Source organism: Homo sapiens, chromosome 11 (genome assembly GCF_000001405.40).
Source record: "Homo sapiens chromosome 11, GRCh38.p14 Primary Assembly".
Lineage (NCBI taxonomy): Eukaryota > Metazoa > Chordata > Mammalia > Primates > Hominidae > Homo > Homo sapiens.
The window spans coordinates 34,658,789-34,677,508 of NC_000011.10; the positions used below are offsets into that span (position 1 = coordinate 34,658,789).

The 18,720-nt window shown below is 38.4% G+C and overlaps 1 protein-coding gene and 1 pseudogene across 33 annotated transcripts in view; both read left to right on the plus strand.

Annotated features, from left to right (window-relative positions):
- Positions 1-4,500, plus strand: part of EHF (ETS homologous factor) — a 42,196-nt gene extending 37,696 nt beyond the window's left edge. For all 33 annotated transcript variants that reach the window (NR_165391.1, NR_165390.1, NM_001378041.1 and 30 more), the window contains one exon: positions 44-4,500. Coding sequence is in view for 31 of the 33 variants with exons in the window: in NM_001378041.1 (NP_001364970.1) it covers positions 44-143 (100 nt within the window). In the remaining 2 variants the exon portion in view is untranslated. The remainder of the gene's footprint in view (positions 1-43) is intronic.
- NDUFB8P3 (NADH:ubiquinone oxidoreductase subunit B8 pseudogene 3) overlaps positions 15,435-18,720 on the plus strand; it is a 36,042-nt pseudogene continuing 32,756 nt past the window's right edge.

Here is an 18,720-nt window from a genome sequence, read left to right on the forward strand (position 1 = left end):
CCTTCATCGGATCAGTCACCTTATGCAATCTCCTTTGTTACAGATATTACTACAAAAGAGAAATTCTGGAGCGTGTGGATGGACGAAGACTGGTATATAAATTTGGGAAGAATGCCCGAGGATGGAGAGAAAATGAAAACTGAAGCTGCCAATACTTTGGACACAAACCAAAACACACACCAAATAATCAGAAACAAAGAACTCCTGGACGTAAATATTTCAAAGACTACTTTTCTCTGATATTTATGTACCATGAGGGGAACAAGAAACTACTTCTAACGGGAAGAAGAAACACTACGGTCGATTAAAAAAATTATTTTGTTACTTCGAAGTATGTCCTATATGGGGAAAAAACGTACACAGTTTTCTGTGAAATATGATGCTGTATGTGGTTGTGATTTTTTTTCACCTCTATTGTGAATTCTTTTTCACTGCAAGAGTAACAGGATTTGTAGCCTTGTGCTTCTTGCTAAGAGAAAGAAAAACAAAATCAGAGGGCATTAAATGTTTTGTATGTGACATGATTTAGAAAAAGGTGATGCATCCTCCTCACATAAGCATCCATATGGCTTCGTCAAGGGAGGTGAACATTGTTGCTGAGTTAAATTCCAGGGTCTCAGATGGTTAGGACAAAGTGGATGGATGCCGGGAAGTTTAACCTGAGCCTTAGGATCCAATGAGTGGAGAATGGGGACTTCCAAAACCCAAGGTTGGCTATAATCTCTGCATAACCACATGACTTGGAATGCTTAAATCAGCAAGAAGAATAATGGTGGGGTCTTTATACTCATTCAGGAATGGTTTATCTGATGCCAGGGCTGTCTTCCTTTCTCCCCTTTGGATGGTTGGTGAAATACTTTAATTGCCCTGTCTGCTCACTTCTAGCTATTTAAGAGAGAACCCAGCTTGGTTCTTTTTTGCTCCAAGTGCTTAAAAATAAGTTGGAAAAAGGAGACGGTGGTGTGGAAATGGCTGAAGAGTTTGCTCTTGTATCCCTATAGTCCAAGGTTTCTCAATCTGCACAATTGACATTTTTGGCCGGAGTGTTCTTTGTGGTGAGGGCTTTCCTGTGCATTGTAAGATGTTCAGCAGTATCCACTCATGGTCTCTAACCACTTGACACCAGAAACCCCCCAGCTGTGATAACGCAAAATGTCTCTAGACATCACCAAATGTTCCCTGGGGGTGGCAAATTTGCCCTTGATTGAGAACCACCAGTTTAGCTAGTCAATATGAGGATGGTGGTTTATTCTCAGAAGAAAAAGATATGTAAGGTCTTTTAGCTCCTTAGAGTGAAGCAAAAGCAAGACTTCAACCTCAACCTATCTTTATGTTTTAAATGTTAGGGACAATAAGTTGAAATAGCTAGAGGAGCTTCTTTTCAGAACCCCAGATGAGAGCCAATGTCAGATAAAGTAAGCATAGTAATGTAGCAGGAACTACAATAGAAGACATTTTCACTGGAATTACAAAGCAGAATTAAAATTATATTGTAGAAGGAAACACCAAGAAAAGAATTTCCAGGGAAAATCCTCTTTGCAGGTATTAATTCTTATAATTTTTTGTCTTTTGGATTATCTGTTTACTGTCTCATCTGAACTGATCCCAGGTGAACGGTTTATTGCCTAGATTTGTACTCAGAGGAATTTTTTTTGTTTTGTTTTGTCTTTTAAGAAAGGAAAGAAAGGATGAAAAAAATAAACAGAAAACTCAGCTCAGGCACAATTGTCACCAAGGAGTTAAAAGCTTCTTCTTCAATAGAGGAATTGTTCTGGGGGTCCTGGAGACTTACCATTGAGCCATGCAATCTGGGAAGCACAGGAATAAGTAGACACTTTGAAAATGGATTTGAATGTTCTCATCCCTTTTGCAGCTTTTCTTTTTGGCTCTCTCATGTCCTTGGCTTGCTCCTCTATTCTACCTCTCTTTCTCCAGCAATAATATGCAAATGAAGACATGTATCCATAAGAAGGAGTGCTCTTCATCAACTAATAGAGCACCTACCACAGTGTCATACCTGGTAGAGGTGAGCAATTCATATTCAAAGGTTGCAAAGTGTTTGTAATATATTCATGAGGCTGGAAGTAAGAAGAATTAAAAATTTGTCCTAATTACAATGAGAACCATTCTAGGTAGTGATCTTGGAGCACACATGAATAACTTTCTGAAGGTGCAACCAAATCCATTTTTATTTCTGCCTGGCTTGGTCACTTCTGTAAAGGTTTAACTTAGTGTTGTCAAGTAACAGTTACTGAAAGAGCTGAGAAAAAGAACAATGAACAGCAACGATCTTGACTGTGCAACTCAGACATTCCTGCAGAAAAGACATATGTTGCTTTACAAGAAGGCCAAAGAACTATGGGGCCTTCCCAGCATTTGACTGTTCATTGCATAGAATGAATTAAATATCCAGTTACTTGAATGGGTATAACGCATGAATATTTGTGTGTCTGTGTGTGTGTCTGAGTTGTGTGATTTTATTAGGGGCATCTGCCAATTCTCTCACTGTGGTTCCTTCTCTGACTTTGCCTGTTCATCATCTAAGGAGGCTAGATCCTTCGCTGACTTCACCATTCCTCAAACCTGTAAGTTTCTCACTTCTTCCAAATTGGCTTTGGCTCTTTCTGCAACCTTTCCATTCAAGAGCAATCTTTGCTAAGGAGTAAGTGAATGTGAAGAGTACCAACTACAACAATTCTACAGATAATTAGTGGATTGTGTTGTTTGTTGAGAGTGAAGGTTTCTTGGCATCTGGTGCCTGATTAAGGCTTGAGTATTAAGTTCTCAGCATATCTCTCTATTGTCTTGACTTGAGTTTGCTGCATTTTCTATGTGCTGTTCGTGACTTGGAGAACTTAAAGTAATCGAGCTATGCCAACTTGGGGTGGTAACAGAGTACTTCCCACCACAGTGTTGAAAGGGAGAGCAAAGTCTTATGGATAAACCCTCCTTTCTTTTGGGGACACATGGCTCTCACTTGAGAAGCTCACCTGTGCTGAATGTCCACATGGTCACTAAACATGTTATCCTTAAACCCCCCGTATGCCTGAGTTGAAAGGGCTCTCTCTTATTAGGTTTTCATGGGAACATGAGGCAGCAAATCTATTGCTAAGACTTTACCAGGCTCAAATCATCTGAGGCTGATAGATATTTGACTTGGTAAGACTTAAGTAAGGCTCTGGCTCCCAGGGGCATAAGCAACAGTTTCTTGAATGTGCCATCTGAGAAGGGAGACCCAGGTTGTGAGTTTTCCTTTGAACACATTGGTCTTTTCTCAAAGTTCCTGCCTTGCTAGACTGTTAGCTCTTTGAGGACAGGGACTATGTCTTATCAATCACTATTATTTTCCTGTTACCTAGCATGGGACAAGTACACAACACATATTTGTTCAATGAATGAATGAATGTCTTCTAAAAGACTCCTCTGATTGGGAGACCATATCTATAATTGGGATGTGAATCATTTCTTCAGTGGAATAAGAGCACAACGGCACAACCTTCAAGGACATATTATCTACTATGAACATTTTACTGTGAGACTCTTTATTTTGCCTTCTACTTGCGCTGAAATGAAACCAAAACAGGCCGTTGGGTTCCACAAGTCAATATATGTTGGATGAGGATTCTGTTGCCTTATTGGGAACTGTGAGACTTATCTGGTATGAGAAGCCAGTAATAAACCTTTGACCTGTTTTAACCAATGAAGATTATGAATATGTTAATATGATGTAAATTGCTATTTAAGTGTAAAGCAGTTCTAAGTTTTAGTATTTGGGGGATTGGTTTTTATTATTTTTTTCCTTTTTGAAAAATACTGAGGGATCTTTTGATAAAGTTAGTAATGCATGTTAGATTTTAGTTTTGCAAGCATGTTGTTTTTCAAATATATCAAGTATAGAAAAAGGTAAAACAGTTAAGAAGGAAGGCAATTATATTATTCTTCTGTAGTTAAGCAAACACTTGTTGAGTGCCTGCTATGTGCACGGCATGGGCCCATATGTGTGAGGAGCTTGTCTAATTATGTAGGAAGCAATAGATCTCGGTAGTTACGTATTGGGCAGATACTTACTGTATGAATGAAAGAACATCACAGTAATCACAATATCAGAGCTGAATTATCCTCAGTGTAGCTTCTTGGAATTCAGTTTCTGGAACTAGAGATAGAGCATTTATTAAAAAAAACTCCTGTTGAGACTGTGTCTTATGAACCTCTGAAACGTACAAGCCTTCACAAGTTTAACTAAATTGGGATTAATCTTTCTGTAGTTATCTGCATAATTCTTGTTTTTCTTTCCATCTGGCTCCTGGGTTGACAATTTGTGGAAACAACTCTATTGCTACTATTTAAAAAAAATCAGAAATCTTTCCCTTTAAGCTATGTTAAATTCAAACTATTCCTGCTATTCCTGTTTTGTCAAAGAATTATATTTTTCAAAATATGTTTATTTGTTTGATGGGTCCCAGGAAACACTAATAAAAACCACAGAGACCAGCCTGGAAATGCGTGTTTCATTCTTCAATAAGCCATTCAATGCTGGGCTTAGAGAAAATGCACTTAGCCTCTAGCAACAGAACACATACAGCTTCTGCGTTACTTTACTCAAAAAGCATTTATCGAGCATCTACTTCGTGCCAGATATTGTTCTAGGCACCAAATTATAGCAGAGGATGAAAGAGACAAAAATCTCTGCTCTCATAAAATTTATGTTGTATTGAGTAGAAACAGTCAAGAAAAAACACAAATAAATAAATAAAGCATAGCATATTGGATGTGTAGTAAAGAAATATAGAGGAACAGAGACTGCTAGAGCACTTAATACAATAAGGGCATGCTGTAAATTTAGGCAGTGTTAAGAAGGAAACATTTCAGTAAAGAACTGAAGGATCTAAAGGAAGGAGCCACACAGATATACAGATAACTGGGGGAGTGCTCCATACTGAAGTGATGTGAGAGGGTCCTAAGGTGGGTGTGTTCCTTATCATGCCCAGGGAACAGTGAGGAGGTCTGTTTGCCAGAGTAGACCGGCAATAGTTAAGAAATGGTGAAACAGAGGTACTGGTGGGCCAGATCACATAGAGGCCATTACGAAGGCTCTAGTTTTTCCTTTGCATGCGTGTGATGGAGATACTAGAGGAGTGACATGATCCAACTTCTGGTTTAAAAGGATTCTTCTGGCTGTTGTTTTGAGAATGGATTGCAGGAAGGCATTCAATGCTGGATATAAAGAAAGGTAGAAAAGATGACCCTTATATCCAGGTCTCTAATACAATACTTAAAAATGTCACCAGGCAGTAAGTGAGCTCCAGTAGTTCATAGCACGTTTCTCCCTGGGTCCAGAAAGCCTCAGCTATTTAGTCACATAATTTCATAAATGATCATGAAATCAATAATAGCTAACTACTCTGGGAAGATTCACTTGTCCCAGGAATTATGATAATGCTATTTACATATATTATTATATTCATTTCTCATATAAGCCTGGATTTATAGATATTATCTCCAATTTTCATATGAGGGAAATGAAGATCAGAAAAGTTAAGTGACTTTCTGAAGGTCACACAGCTGGTAATAAGGGGTAGATCTGGCATTGTTTACACACGTCCCTCTTTCCTCCCTACCATCCCCAACGCAAGTCCATGTTCTACCAGTAATATTTCTCTAGTTTCTCAGGACGCTAATGTTTTACACACACACACACACATGCACACACATAGAGGTTTCTATAGTTAAACAGAGCTAGTTACTGTAAGACTTCTCAGAGTTTTTACTATGATAATGTGCATTGTGAATCTACAAGAGAGGGAAAAAGTGTGCCCACTTCCCTAAGCCTATTTGACGATGGACACCTTTCATCAAAGGAGACCTCATGAAACCAGCACCCCTTAGGACACTCCTAATCTTTAAAAATTACTTCTCAGAAGAGGCAATATTTTTCATGTTTGGGCCGAATAAGTTTTCTGATAATATTTCTGCACATCAAACTTGGCCAGCTTTGAATATATTCCATTTTTTCCTCCTTGAGAAGAAATCCCTCACTTACTGACCTGGGCATTATTTATCTGCGTTGATGCATTTCTCAGTAATCACAAAGACCTTGCAAAGTGACTCTTTGAAAACTATGAACCCTCCTCAATTTTAACTCATTAGAATTATCTACTCAAAACTACAGGCTGTAGCCCCAGGTGACAATTTAAGTTTAAATTACTTACAATTATATAAATTAAAATTTAAGTTTCTAATCACACTGATCCACTTTTCAAGTGCCGAATAGTCGCATATGGCTAATGGTTATTTTATTTGACAGTGGAGTACAGAACATTTCCATCATCAGAGAAAATTCCATAGGACAGTACTGTTCTAAAATCTGACCTGGGAGGGTCGGGTAAGGGTGGAAAGGATAGTGATCAAAGCTAACCAACAGTGAAATAAGATTCCTGGGAGCCTTAGAAACCAAAGGTGACCCTGAATTGTAGAGAACAAAAAATAAAGATCCAAAGCAAATAACTGTGTTTGCTGGAGTGATGACAGTAGCTGCCAGTACAAACAGGTTTGATGTTGTCAGTGGAGCCTTGGTGTGGGAGGATTTGATTATTCTTATCTCCAAACCCCAAAAATACCCTACAGTCATTAATATGAATTTTCCAAGGATGTGGCTTTTTGGTGGATAATATTGGCATTAAGGGAAGATGACCAAAATGGGAAGGGAAATGAAAGGTCCCCAAATAGAAATGGTTGCCACTGCCCACTCCGCTATAAATGGCACTAATACCACTTTCTTCCTTCTTTTCAAGAACGACTTCTTGCATAAGTCATCTGCCCTTAGGCGCTCTTTCCTTATAAATCAATTCTCCTTCATTACTATCATGATCTGGCCTCTGTTCACATCAAGTCACTGACAATGCCCTACTGGAGGTCATAGTCAAACTCATTTCTGCCTCAGGAACTTTCCTATAGCTGTTCCCTATACTGACAACGCACTTTCGATCTTCATGTGGCTGGTTCCTTTTAGTCATGCAGTCTCAGTTCAAAACGTTGCTTTCCTGATTGTACTTGCTTTAGCTGCCCACCTACCTCGCGTTGCTTCCTATTATATTGTCCACATTTAATCTTCACAGAACTTACAGTATCTGAAATTATTTTTTAAAATTCATTAGTTTACCAAGTCCTTATGATTTTGTCTCTGACCAATCAGCATTCCTGGCTCACTGGCTTCCCTCCACCCACCAAGTTATCCTTAAAAACTCTGCTCCCCGAATGTCTGGGGAACCTGATTTGAGTAATAATAAAACTCTGGTCTCCCACCTCCCAAAATTCATTACTTTTATAGTATTTCTTATCCCTGCTAGAACATAAGCTCTTGGAGAGCAGGAGCCAGAAACTTCCATGTTGGCCAATGTGTTCCTAGAGCGACAATGTGCCTGACATGTCCCCCTGACCCCATAAATATTTGTAGAATAAATAAATAAATAAATACATAAATAAATAAAGGACATGCTTATTTTCAAATTCCAAGGCCTTTCTTTTTTTGACTTTATGATTTTTGACACTGGTGACACCCTACCCCCTTTAATTTTGGAAAATAATCTAAGCCCTTGTTTTCCGCACCAATGAAATTCTTGCCCTCTGCTTTCCTGAGTATTCGTTCTTCAGTTCTTTCTCTTCCCATTCTTCTGTCTGTGTTCCCCAAGATTAAATCCTCAGCCCCCTTCTTTCTCCCCATTCTTTGCCTCAAAGTTTAGCCTCTTGAAAGGTCAGCCTCAAGAAACTTCATAATGATATAAGGGAGGTACAGACTGTTTTCTTCCTGGTCCTGACTTCAACTCTAACTGGCTGGAGACTATGAACCTGTCATTTCTCCATTCCTTAGTTTCTTCTTCTATGAAATGGGGACATACCTTCTTCTCAGTGTTGTGGGAATCAAGCAAACAGATTCTAGCCCCTGTTCATTTCATAATTTTTTTTTTTTTGAGATGGAGTTTCGTTCTTGTTGCTCAGGCTGGAGTGCAATGGTGCAATCTCAGCTCACCACAACCTCCGCCTCCTGGGTTTGAGCGATTTTCCTGCCTAAGCCCCCTGAGTAGCTGGGATTACAGGCATGCACCACCATGCCTGGCTAATTTTGTATTTTTTTTTTTTTTTTAGTAGAGACGAGATTTCTCCATGTTGGTCAGGCTGGTCTCAAACTCTCGACCTCAGGTGATCCGTCCCCCTCAGCTTCCCAAAGTGCTGGGATTACAGGTGTGAGCCACCACACCCGGCGCATTTAATAATTTTAAAGGGTTTATATGTGCAGGCATTGTGCAAAGCACTTTGATTTTATTTTTTCTTGTAACCCTCACTCTAACCTCACGAGACAAGTTTGGGAAATTGAGGTTCAGAGAGGTGAAGAATTGTACCTGAGTTCATTCTGCTGATGTGGAAGAGCTGCTATTTGAATCTCTGCCTGGCTGAAACCGGAATTTAGGTCTTAAACATAATGTTCTATTGTCTTCCTTTGAAAGCATTAAGAAAATAAGTAAGCACTAAACAAAGTAAGAAACTTATTTTTGAATTTATGATGACCCAAAGAGAGGTATTAATATTTAGAGTGTCTAGTATGGGAATACAATGATAACTAGTCAACATGGTGTCTTCAAGTCATTTTACCCTGTGTTAAAGGGCATAACTGACCGTCGCTGGGTAAGGACTAAGATTCAAAGAGGATTTGATATCTGATCTGCCTTAAAATCATAGCCCCAGAGCTGGAAGATTATTTGGTACAAACTCTTCTCATAAGAGTTTAGAGAGCTTAAAGAGCAAACTCAAGGTCACCCAGGCTCTTGGCTAGAAGGGGAAACCAGTCTTCCCACTTTCCTCTTCAAAAATCCCACCCAATGTGAATCTTCTTGGCCATGGTCCCCCCATATTCACAGGGCTCTTCCATCCTCAAAGCAGAGACATCTTCAGGGAAGCTCCTTTTTCCTCCTGGACTCCATGGTGATACCACGCAACTTTCTTGTGCTGATTCCTCAAATCCAGCCAACATCATCTTCCCTCTGGGCCACAGCCAAGTCAGGCAGGAAGAACTGCACATCCTAGACATTGGTGGAAGGGCCGATGTATGGAACCAGAGGGACCATGTCAGCGCTGTTAAGAAATGATGGATGCAAAAGTCCCAGCACTTCTGAGGAAGGGACACAGAGTGTTCCTGGAATCTGGTAAAAGATCCCATTAATCATCACTTCTGTCTTCTCTCCTCTGCTTCACTGTGTGTATGTGTGTGTATGTGTGTGTGTGTTTATGTGTTGTATGTTTGTATGTCTGCCTGCCCTTCTCTCTCTTGCTCTCTGTGTCTCTTTCAGAGTCCCTGTTCCTTTCCCATACCCTTCCTTCTTCTTGCTCACCTATCCCTTTCAGACTCCTTCCCCCTCCAAACCTGTCTTTCCAGGTTGCTGAAAGACAGAGCCAACAAGAGGACAGTCCAGGACCAGGAATGGTGCCATCTCTCTGAAAGCCTCAGCGGTGACAATAACAAATGGTATTTACCTAAGAGTTATTAACACATCAACTGTTCTCTCCTTTACTGTTTAGTCATGTCACTCAGCACTAATGGACTTTTCCAATGGCAAACAGAAAGAGAAGAAGGAAAACAAACAGTGCATTCACACTAGATAGAATCAGTGATCCCTGCTGAAGCTGTGAAAACAGAGGGCATCTCTTAGGTTTGACCTGAGGACACGTCTCACCTGGATGTGGATTGCAAGATTCTGGGCCTATGCTGGACTCTCCACCAAGGTTTCCTATGAGAGAGAAAGCAAGGAGAAGTGAAGGACATGGCTTCATGGTGCAAGAAATAAGTGCTTTACTTATTCAACACTTTCAACTATGAATTGATGACAATCAAGGTTCACGGCACTAGGTGCTGCCATATTGCACCAGACAGACTGAAGACAAGGTTGTGAGTGGTCCAAGTTCGCACAGTAGGTCAGCATGAGAGCTCATCTCACTTCCAGTTTTACTCCACCATGCTGCCTCCATTGATGCTCATTCTTCTCTCTCTCTCTTTTTTTTTTTTAAAGACAGGATCTCACTTTGTCACCCAGGCTGGAGGGCAGTGGCATAATCAGGGCTCACTGCACTCTTGACCTCCTGGATTCAAGCAGCTCTCCAGCCTCAGCTTCCCGAGTGGCTGGGACTACAGGTACACATCACCACAACTGGCTAATTTTAAAATTCTTTTTTAGAGACAGGGGCTTTCTATGTTGCCCAGGCTAGTCTCGAACTCCTGGACTCAAGCAACCCTCCCACCTTGGCCTCCAAATCCATGCCTGGGATTATAGGCATGAGCCGCTGTTCCTGGCTCCATTCTTTCTTTAGTAAGGAAACTGGAATACAGGCTAACAGAGTAAAAAGCACAGGCTTTTGAGTTGGAACAACTCTTGTTTTAATTCACATACCTTCACTTACAAGGTGGGTGACCTTGGACAAGTGGCTTAAACTCTTTAAGCCTCAGCTTCCTCATGAAAAAGCAGAGGTTCTAAGTGGGAGCTTATACTTATGGGGAAGAGAACCAAATAACTAGGGTATTACATTGCAGTATGATCAATAACGGGGAACTGCAGGGAGACAGTATGCCTGGTTTCCAGGCATGGCTGTAACTCTAAGTAGCCATGGACCCTACGCAAGTTTTAAAAACGCTATTGCCTTAGTTTCTTTGCCTGTAAATCACTGTAAATCAATAGATTGGACTAGATCATCTCAGGCCATTCCAAACAGAAAGTTCCAGGAATTTATGAAAATAAGTTTGAATCAAGTCCAACATTTCTTTAAATGTTTATATCTCAGCCACACTATTTAAAAATGGCTTCCCTTATGCCCCTAGAACGGATTGGGAGCTAAAGTGAATGCTGAGTCATCTCTAGTGGAGTTTTAGGGTTGAGTAGGTGGGAGGGGAGTGGAGAAAAAATCAGCAGAGCCTGGATCCCTGGACATACTTAGCCAATTCCAAGGGATGCTGTCCTTTCGGATCTAAGAATTGTATCCCCATCTGCTAACACTGCTTCTTGGGGACCTGGCTCACAGGTAACCATGAAGGCTGATACTGATTAAGTGTTTACTCTGTGTCAGACAAAGTGTCGCACTTTACCTGTATTTCACTTAACTCTATGAGCAAGGTGCTGTCATTATTATCATCTTTCCCTGGGGAGGAAGATACTGAGATTCAGAATAATTATGTAAATTTCCCAAGTGGCAGAATTAGGATTTGAACCCAGCTCCCAAGCAATGGCATTTCTTTCAGTGAAACTCCTAAACTGCTAAAGGAAGCACTGCCTGAGGTTTGAACAGCTAAGAGAAGTCCCTTCTTTCTTTGAGTCTGCTTTCTTAGAAACAGGAAGGAAGTAGACTTTTGCCAAAAACACAAAAATAAACAGGTCCCTGGGGCACCATGTGTAATTTGAAATTCAAAACTCTTGAGAGATGTTGCCTTTTCTTGAGTCTGGTTGGTCCCAGCAATGCTAATGATGGAATCACAGATTGGACTCTCAGGGAGCTCCTGCAACAGGAATACCCTACATGTCTACTAAGAGTGTTGGTCTTAGGGAGTATGTTTGGTGTGTGAGTGATGCAAAGTTAGGATACAAGATGGCAGAAAAAAGAAAGGTGATCTCTGGTCCTGGCAGCCAGGAAATCCTCCCCCAAAGCATGGAATTTAATTTCCATTAAAAGGCAGTAATCATTTTCATTTCTAATATTATAACTTAAAAAACCTGATGTCTGATCATTATAAAAAATGAAATATAGAAAATACAAAGGAAGTTAAAAAATATATACTACAAATCTCACAACTAAAAGAATCATTGTATACATTTGGTAGACAACTTTCGAGGCTTCTAGAATAATAAAAAGATAGATGATTGAGGGGTGGAAACTGAGAGGGTGCAGTGAATCAAGATTTGCAAAACTTTGTATCAGTCATATTAATACATTAGTTATTCATTAAAAAGAATAATTGTACAGACAAATAATTTTATAATAATACAAACTGACATGCTATTTAAGAATTAAAAATTAGCCAATTTGACTTGAACTCAACTTGAAGAAAAAGATATGGAGTCAATTCAAATAAATGTTCTTTTAATATATGGTATCTTCAAGAGATATGTGTATGTTTATAAAAATAAAATTATGAAAAGACTGATATTGGGGTAATTATGCTTTTACAAAATCCATTCATTTTTAGATAGGATTGGTTAGCTCCTTGCTGTAAAAGATGATAAAATTAACTCTCGTGTTGTTTTTCATATTTTCCTTTCCCTACTTACTGATTTGGGTTAGTCTATTTTCATTTTTATTTTACTGAGATTTAAATACTTTTATTCTTTTTGACAAAATCAGGACCAAAATCCCAAAGTTGTTTAGTCTTAGATCTAAATCTATGTGTGTCAAATATTTGCTACCTGTTCTTTCACATTTATTACTCATCTTGTACTTCTTTATTTGGATTCACCTCTTGGTTGGCCAGGTTTCATAATGTAATGAATTCTTCTTGGTTCCTCCTGAGTTTACATTCTTCTCTTCTCTCTTTCTGCGAGTTCTCAGTTTATATGGGGAACTATGTGATTCTGAGGAAACTAGCTCTTTCTTCAACTCCAGACATGGAACCACTACCCAGGCTGAGCAGATCACATCTTTCTGCATCCTTGGTGAGGGTTATCTATGTGACCTCAGATGGTGTGACCTCAGATGGAACAATCAGAGTGAATCTCAGGACTTTTGGCTGGAAATGTTGGAACATAGAACTCTCTTCCTCAAGACTGAATAATATGAGGATGCGAATCCCAGAACTATTGCAACTATCTGTTTGCTTCCTTCCATGAGAGAAGTTAGCCTGAGGATGAAGTCAATACATTGAGAAGGGTTAGGACAAACCAAATTTCAGAGGACTTTTGCTGGGTCCCTGATGATATCATGAACTCCTGGATCAGGTTAGACCTGAAGTAACCCCTATTATTGAACTTTTCAGTTACAGCAGCCAATAAGAACAATAAGAACATACTTAGATAGTATAAGTTTTCTGTTGATTACAAAATGAAGAGCTCTAGTTCGTAAAATTGTGAAGGTAGCTGGTGACGGGCTTATGGAAAACAGTTCTGTAGAGAAAATGACAGCAACAAAGCTTCAGAGGTCAAAGAACAGAGGGCATATGACCCAATATTTGTGAATTTAGCTTTTTCTAATGCTGCTACAAGGAGACTTATTCTTGTTAAGGAGGAATAGAACATAATAGTGATGGCTTGCCTCTTAGAGCATAAGCTATTTCCTTACAGGAACTTTTATCTGGAGCTGGAAAAATGTAAGGAAGCCAAGAATGCATTGACAGCTGCTATGGCAACCAGGATTCAAGGGGACAAAATTCTAAAGAAGAGGAAGTCATGCAGAAATGTGAAAGGACATTGTGACTTTTTGTCTTTGGGAATTTTTTAGTTTGGGATTTGGAAAGAGGGCCCAAGCAAGGGGTAGCTACTAAGAGGGCAGAGAAACCCACTGAAATTTTGATAGTCTCGTGAGGCTGAAGAGACAAAAAAAAATTTGAAGGGTCAGAATGTCAGTAAGAAGAAAGGGCTGGATAACTGATTCCAACATCATATCAGCTTCCCTACCATTAGTATTTGTCAATTTGAAACTTCTTGGGGCAGGGGACGAACAAACTTAGACTCTGAAAAACAGAATGCAATTTTGGTAGTCTCAGAATACCAAAGGGATGAGGATTAGAATTCAGGTCCAACTGTGCAGAAAAATCTCCAGTTAACACCTCAAGCTCTTATTGAGAATTCCAGGAAGAGGAGATAAATGAAAGATGATCCTACCTGTAACTGAAAATCTAGTTCAAATCAGCTTTGTCCTTGATTGGTGAAAGTTGATAGTCCCCAATCTATCTGTTTGGCAAAGGAAAGGATGAACCATTTCAGGAGGAAGATAACATTATTCAGAGTCTTTCTCATACACAATTCAATCAAAAATTACTAGGACCAAGTGACCAAATTCAAGAGAAAAGCTAGCCGATAGAAAGACCCATGGGAGATCCAAGTGTTGAACTGATCAGATGTGAACTTTAAAATAGTTAGGATTAACATGTTTGAGAAAAATACAAAAAAACTAAGAAAATATATTAAAAGATACAGAATTTTAGCAGTTAGTTAGATTTTAAAAGCAACAATCAAATTAAAATTTTAGAACTAAAAATGTAATAACTAAAATGAGAAGCTCAATAGATGGATTTGACAGAAGATTTGATACAAAAGAAAGCAGAAGTAATAATCTGAAAAAATAGGCCAATAGAAAACATCCATATGAAACAAAGGATTTAAAAAAGAATTTAAAAAAGCACTGAAGAGTATAATAGATATATGAGGCACAGTAAATATTTCTAAAAATGGTATAATTTGAGTTCCAGTATGAGAAGAGAGAATGTGATGAAGCAAAATTTGAAGAGCTAATGGGATATAATGTTGCAAAATGAATAAACCCCGCAGGTTTAATGATTCTTGCAAACTCTGAGAAGAAAACATCAGAATAAAACCACATTCAGGCTTTCCTTGTAAAACTGCTGAAAAGCAAAGACAAAGAGAACATCTTTAAAATAGGCAGAGGAAAAAAAGATAAAATAATATAAATTTTCTTATGAAACAACAGAATCCAGGAAATAATCGAATAACTTCTTTGAACTGCTGAAAAAAAGTCCAACTTAAAATTCTATATCCAGAAAAAATATTTAGCAAACATTAAAGCCAAATAGACGATTAAGACAAACAAAAACAAACAGAATGTGTCAGTAGCACAACTAAAGTAAAATAAATACTAAAAGGAGTTCTTTAGGAAGAAGAATATTTATTCTTTTTTGGAAAGAACCCAAAAAGATTATTCACTTCTTTCCTCCATCTCTGGGTATACATTTCCTCAGCTCTTTCTTGACTACACTGGCCCAGCCATCAAAGACTTTCCTCTTAAATCCCCAAAATAAAAATTTTACACCACCTAACTATTGTAACCAGGGCTTGGCGTTCTGTCCCATCTAGCCATATTTCTTCACAGCCAAACTGAATCTGTCCTGTTGCTATTAGGACTCATTATCTTTTTAAAAACAAAACATTTTTTCCTTCCATACCATGAAAGTAAATCACATCCAGTTGTAGAATATTTCTAAAATACAAAAGTACAAATATGTAAATAAAAGTTATTTATGTTCTCCTTTTCTTAAGTGATTGTTTTTGTTATTTTATTTATCATTATGTTTTTATTGGACATATAGGTTGTATCATAATATGTTTTAATTGAGTAACCTTTATAAATATTCTTTTTCATAAATCTTTATATTTCTTAATGTTTTGTTTCTTAAGAAATATTTCTTTCTTTTTTTGTGATGGGGTCTTGCTATGTTGTCCAGTCTGAGTGCAACGGCTATTTACAGGCATGATCATAGTGTGCCACAGCCTCAAACTCCTGGGTTGAAGAAATCCTCCTGTCTTGGCCTCCCAAGTAGCTGGGACTATAGACATGTACTTCCACACTTGGATCAAAGAGATATTTCTGAAAGTAAAATTTGGGGGTCAAAGGTATGGATTATTGTTTTTCTGACTCTTTTTTTAAAAAGTTGCTTCAGTGTCTTTGTTTTTCTTTCTTCCCCAGCATCTCCCCAATCCTCCTCCCCACTGCCAACCTCTGATAAGCATAATTCTACTCTGTTTATATGGGTTTGACTTTGTTAGATTTCACACATGTGAAATCATGGATCATATGGTTATCCTATTTTTAATTTTTGAGGAAAATCCACACTGCTTTCCATAATGGCTACATTAATATGCCTTTCTAACAACAGTTCCCTTTACTCTACAACCTTGTCAACACTTGTTATTGTTTGTCTTTTTGATAATGGCCATTCTAACAGGTGTGGTATGATATTTCATTGTGCTTTGAGTTTGCATTTCCTTGATCATTAGTGACATTGAGCATTTTTCTCATTTACTTGTTAGCCATTTGCATATCTTCTGAAAATTTGCTATTCAAGTCTTTTACCTGTTTTTAAATGGGCTTTTGTTTTCTTACTATTGAGTTGTTTGAGTTCCTTATATATTTTGGCTATTAACCCCTTATCAGATGTCTGGTTTGCAAATATTTTTTGCCTTTCTATAGGTTATGTTTTCACCTGGTGATTTTGCTGTGCAGTGCTTTTCATTTTTTATGTAATTTCATTTGTTTATTTTTGCTTTTGCTGCCTGTGCTGTTGGGGTCATATTAAAAAAAATTGTTGCCTAGATGTCATGGAGATTTTTCACTATGTCTTCTTTTAATAGTTTTATGCTTCAGGTATTACATTGAAATATTTAATTTATTTCCAGTTGATTTTTGAATATGGTGTGAGATGTGGGTTTAATTTCACTCTTCTGCATGTGGATATCCAGTTTCCTAGAACCATTTATTGAAGAAAATGTCCTTTCCTCATTGTATGTCGCTATGTGGAAAATCAATTAAGTAAAAGTGTGTGAATTCATTTCTGGGCTCTTTATTCTGTTCCATTGGTGTCTGTTTCTACACAAATGCTCTGCTGCTTTGATTATTATATTATAGCTTTGTCGTGGATTTTGAAATGAGGTAGTGTGAAGCCTGCGGCTTTGTTCTTTTTGCTTAAGATTGCTTTGGCTATTTAGAATCTTTTGTAGTTCCATATGAATTAGGATTTAGTCTCTTTTTGTGAAAAATGTCATTGGAATTTTGATGGAGAGTGCATTGAATCTGTAGATCACTTTAGTTGGTATGGAGACTTTAAAAGTATCAATCCTTCTAATCCATGAACACAGGATATCTTTCCATTTACTTGTATCTTCTTCAATTTCTTTAATCAGAACTGGGACTAGTATAAAATTCGGGGGCTCTGCAGTTTGCTACTTAAGCCTATATACACTTTTTTCAAGCACCCTGATATCATCATAACTTCATAGTTGGGATCTATTAATATTCTCTAAAGCAGAGAATATTAAACACTACCTGTTAGCAGGATGTTCCCACCTTCTCCATGTTCTCTCTCTTTTTTCTGACTTCAGCGGTATCTCAGTGTGGTGCTTCCATTGTCGTCTATGAAATTCTTCTTATGGTAAGGTTCTTGTGTGTAATTATTCAATACTATATCCTATATTATCTAGTCTCAGTGCACTGTCTTGATCAAAGAACGCTGTTCAGAAACCAAAGAGTGACTTCAAAACCACTCAAGTTCTTTGAGTGTTTGTAAAAACCTGTAAAGGATAAACATTCATAGCAATTCTTTGACATATTTTTTTCTTCTCCTATCCACTTTCTCACAATAGCTGCTCTCTTGTGCTTCTCAGAAATTCTCATTTCCTTCTTAAGATTTATTCCTCCAACCCTACCTTGTCCTCCTGTCTCTCTCCTGCTTCCATTCCTTTTCTGATTCTGATCCCAACATTTGGAAGACTCTTCTGGCAATGGAAGAACTCTTCTCCAAATATGAAGTCTGGGGTGACATTGAGTAGTCAAAATCAAAGCCATCATTGGCAAGCAGAGGGATTGGGGAAAACTTGGAACGGTTACATATTAACAATGTTATCTGTTCACAGGTCTTTCATGCAGAGTGGAAATCTGAATGTGTGTGTGTGTGTGTGTGTGAGTGTGTGTGTGTGTTTAGGGATCTATCACTTACCTTTCCTTCCAGGGCAATAGTGCTCATCCTTGGCTACTATATTACCTTGATAACAAGTAACAGGGAATCAACTTTTCAAACTGTAGTAGATTGGAAATAGCTTATTGTAAAGCATCTATGAAGTTATATACTTCTGATATAACCTCAGGCCCTTTTGTTTTTATATTTTCATTGGTCAGGATATACAGTAGAAACAAAGGAGACGGTGGAGTGTGATGGATAAGAATACAGGCTTTGGAACTACATAGACCTGCATCCCAAGCCTGACTCTACCACGTATTTGCTTTATGACTTTGGGCAAGCCACTACAATCTTCTGATTTATTTGTAAAAGAGAGATAACACTTCGCAAGGTTATTTTGAAGGTTTAATTGTATCATTTAGTCAATAAATATTTATTGAGAACTTCTGTGTGCCAGTACTATTCTAGGCACTGGGACTCTGACAGTGAACCAGCAAGAAAACCTCACTGCTGCCAAGTAGCTGAGAGCCCAGTGATAATCCATGTAAAGTCTGCCCACTACCTGGCACATAGCGAGCACTCAATAAATGGAAGAAATAATCATACTATTACTAGATTTTATCAAAAATATTTGCCTTTCTGATCTTGTTGGGTGAAAGATAGTTTCACTTAGCTAAATAAAGTCTTAGAATTCTAAAATGTCTAAGTTAGAAGGGTTAATGGTGTGTTTTGTTGTTTCAGGGCAAGGGGATTGGGGACTGTATCACTCTGGTGTCACTAGCCTCTGAGATTGCCTCCCAGTGATGCCTGCTTCCTGGTGTTCACATCCTTATATAGTCTGCTCCCTCAGTGTGCCAGGTTTGGTTTGTGCTAATACAATATGGCAGAGCAATGGTATGTCACTTCTAACATTAGGTTATAGAAGATATTGAGGATTCCTTCTTGGACATTCTCTTTCTTTCTTTCTCAGATTATTCACTTTGGGGGAAGCCAGCTGCCATGCTATGAACCGCCTCATGGAGAGGCCCACATGACAGGAAACTGAGGCCTCCAGCCAATAGCCATAT